Below are 1,644 nucleotides of genomic sequence, written 5' to 3'. Positions count from 1 at the left end.
CACAGCACTGGGCTTGTTTGATGTTTATTCATCAATGTTCTTTTGGTGACAGGTGACCAAAGCCTAACTTGATCTGGCTTAAATGGAAAGCCAATATATCAGCTCATATAAGAGAAAAGTGCAGGTGTACTGACTTCATTCAAGTATGGCTGGATCCAGGTACTCAGATGATGTCATCAGAAAGACACCTTTCTCTCCTTCACTTAATATTGATTTCCTCTGTGTAAGCTTCATTCTCAGGCAGGTTCTCTCCACTTGGTAGTGAAAATGGCCATTCTAAAGATGCGATAGGTTGAGAATTTTTAATTCTGTAGTACTTTGAAATCCTCACCAGATAATTATGTTTCACATTATGCCTGGGACCTCAGTCAGCCACATTTTAAATGCCACTTAAAATGTCAGCCACATGTTACAGAAACTGAGCCCCAGGAAGTGTAAAACCATAACAGAGAACAAAGACAACCCCTGGAAAGCAAAAATGATGGGACATAAAGACCTCACTCTGATCTTTTATTAATGGATCTTTTAGAAATAGATTGTTACAAGTCCCAAAGCATTTTCACTCATTTATCAGACATTTACTCACTACCTACTATGTATCAAGTATGGTGCTGGGGGTTCAGATGAGTAAGACTTGATCCCTCTTTTCACAATCTCAGAAGGTAGCAGACAAGATAGGCACACTACCAACCATATTGCAACATAATGAGGGCTACTGTGCAAGTGTGGGCTGGGCAGGTGCTTGGTGGTGCAATATTTAGGAAAAATTGTGTTAAATGTTTTCTAAAGTCCCTTTTAGTTTGAAATTTCTGCAGTTTATTTCTCTTTCTGAAGTCCTCCTTTCTACTGTAACAGGGGGATTTAGCTCTGTGGGGATGTGGGTGGACTCCAGCTAAACCTACTTACATATCACCTTAGAAGTTTTTTCTCACAGTAAAAGCCGTTTCCAGGGCCACTGTTTAAAATTACTTATGTATGCTCCAGAAGAAAATCACTTAGAATGACAGAAGCAAAGGCTCGTGACTTGTAGAGAGAATGGAAAGTAGGTGTGTTCAATGAAAATGTTAAAAGAGCTGCAGAAAGAGAAAGACCAACTGCACAAGAAGAATTTCATTTGAATAGCCCAAGCTAAAATTTACAATGCAAATAGATGCTAAGACAAGGAAAGGACCTTAATTTTATTTTGGTCTTTACGTGGAAACCCATGGAAGTTTTGTGCTAAGCCTTAGGTATTGTAACACATCAAAATTTGAAGTGTCTCTGTTTCTTAATCTCTTGTATGTGGCCTTTTCTGTTCTTCCCATTAGCTGTTAGAAAGCTATTAGTCCTGCAGAGAGGAGATCTCTGCATAATAGTGGCCACCATTCATGGAACGCTTAACATAGGCCACTGTGCCTTTCATCCTCACATTTAAAAATACTTGACTCATTTAATCCTCATTCTATGATTGGTAGGCAGGTAGTAACATTATTATGCCCATTTTTAAGGTGTAAAAAGAGGAACTCAGAGAAGTTGAATTTGCCCAAAGTCCCAGAGCTAACAAGAGGCACAGATAAAAATACAGAGATTTCTGACACTAGAGCCCATCAAAAGATTAGATAGTAGATAAAGTAGATATGTAGACAGATGGATGAACAAACAGAT

The 1,644-nt window shown here is 38.6% G+C and overlaps 2 annotated features.

Annotated features, from left to right (window-relative positions):
- Positions 509-1,076: an enhancer, noted in NCBI's record as "OCT4-NANOG-H3K27ac hESC enhancer chrX:40712785-40713352 (GRCh37/hg19 assembly coordinates)". NCBI's record gives its function as "activates a minimal SCP1, AML or CMV promoter by ChIP-STARR-seq in primed H9 embryonic stem cells {active_cell/tissue: H9 hESC(primed)}" and the evidence as "EXISTENCE:reporter gene assay evidence [ECO:0000049][PMID:30033119]".
- Positions 1,077-1,644: an enhancer, noted in NCBI's record as "OCT4-NANOG-H3K27ac hESC enhancer chrX:40712217-40712784 (GRCh37/hg19 assembly coordinates)". NCBI's record gives its function as "activates a minimal SCP1, AML or CMV promoter by ChIP-STARR-seq in naive H9 embryonic stem cells {active_cell/tissue: H9 hESC(naive)}" and the evidence as "EXISTENCE:reporter gene assay evidence [ECO:0000049][PMID:30033119]".

This window comes from Homo sapiens, chromosome X, assembly GCF_000001405.40.
Source record: "Homo sapiens chromosome X, GRCh38.p14 Primary Assembly".
NCBI classification, from domain to species: domain Eukaryota; kingdom Metazoa; phylum Chordata; class Mammalia; order Primates; family Hominidae; genus Homo; species Homo sapiens.
Note: the sequence above shows the minus strand (reverse complement) of the source record. Positions and strands in the feature narration are given on the sequence as shown.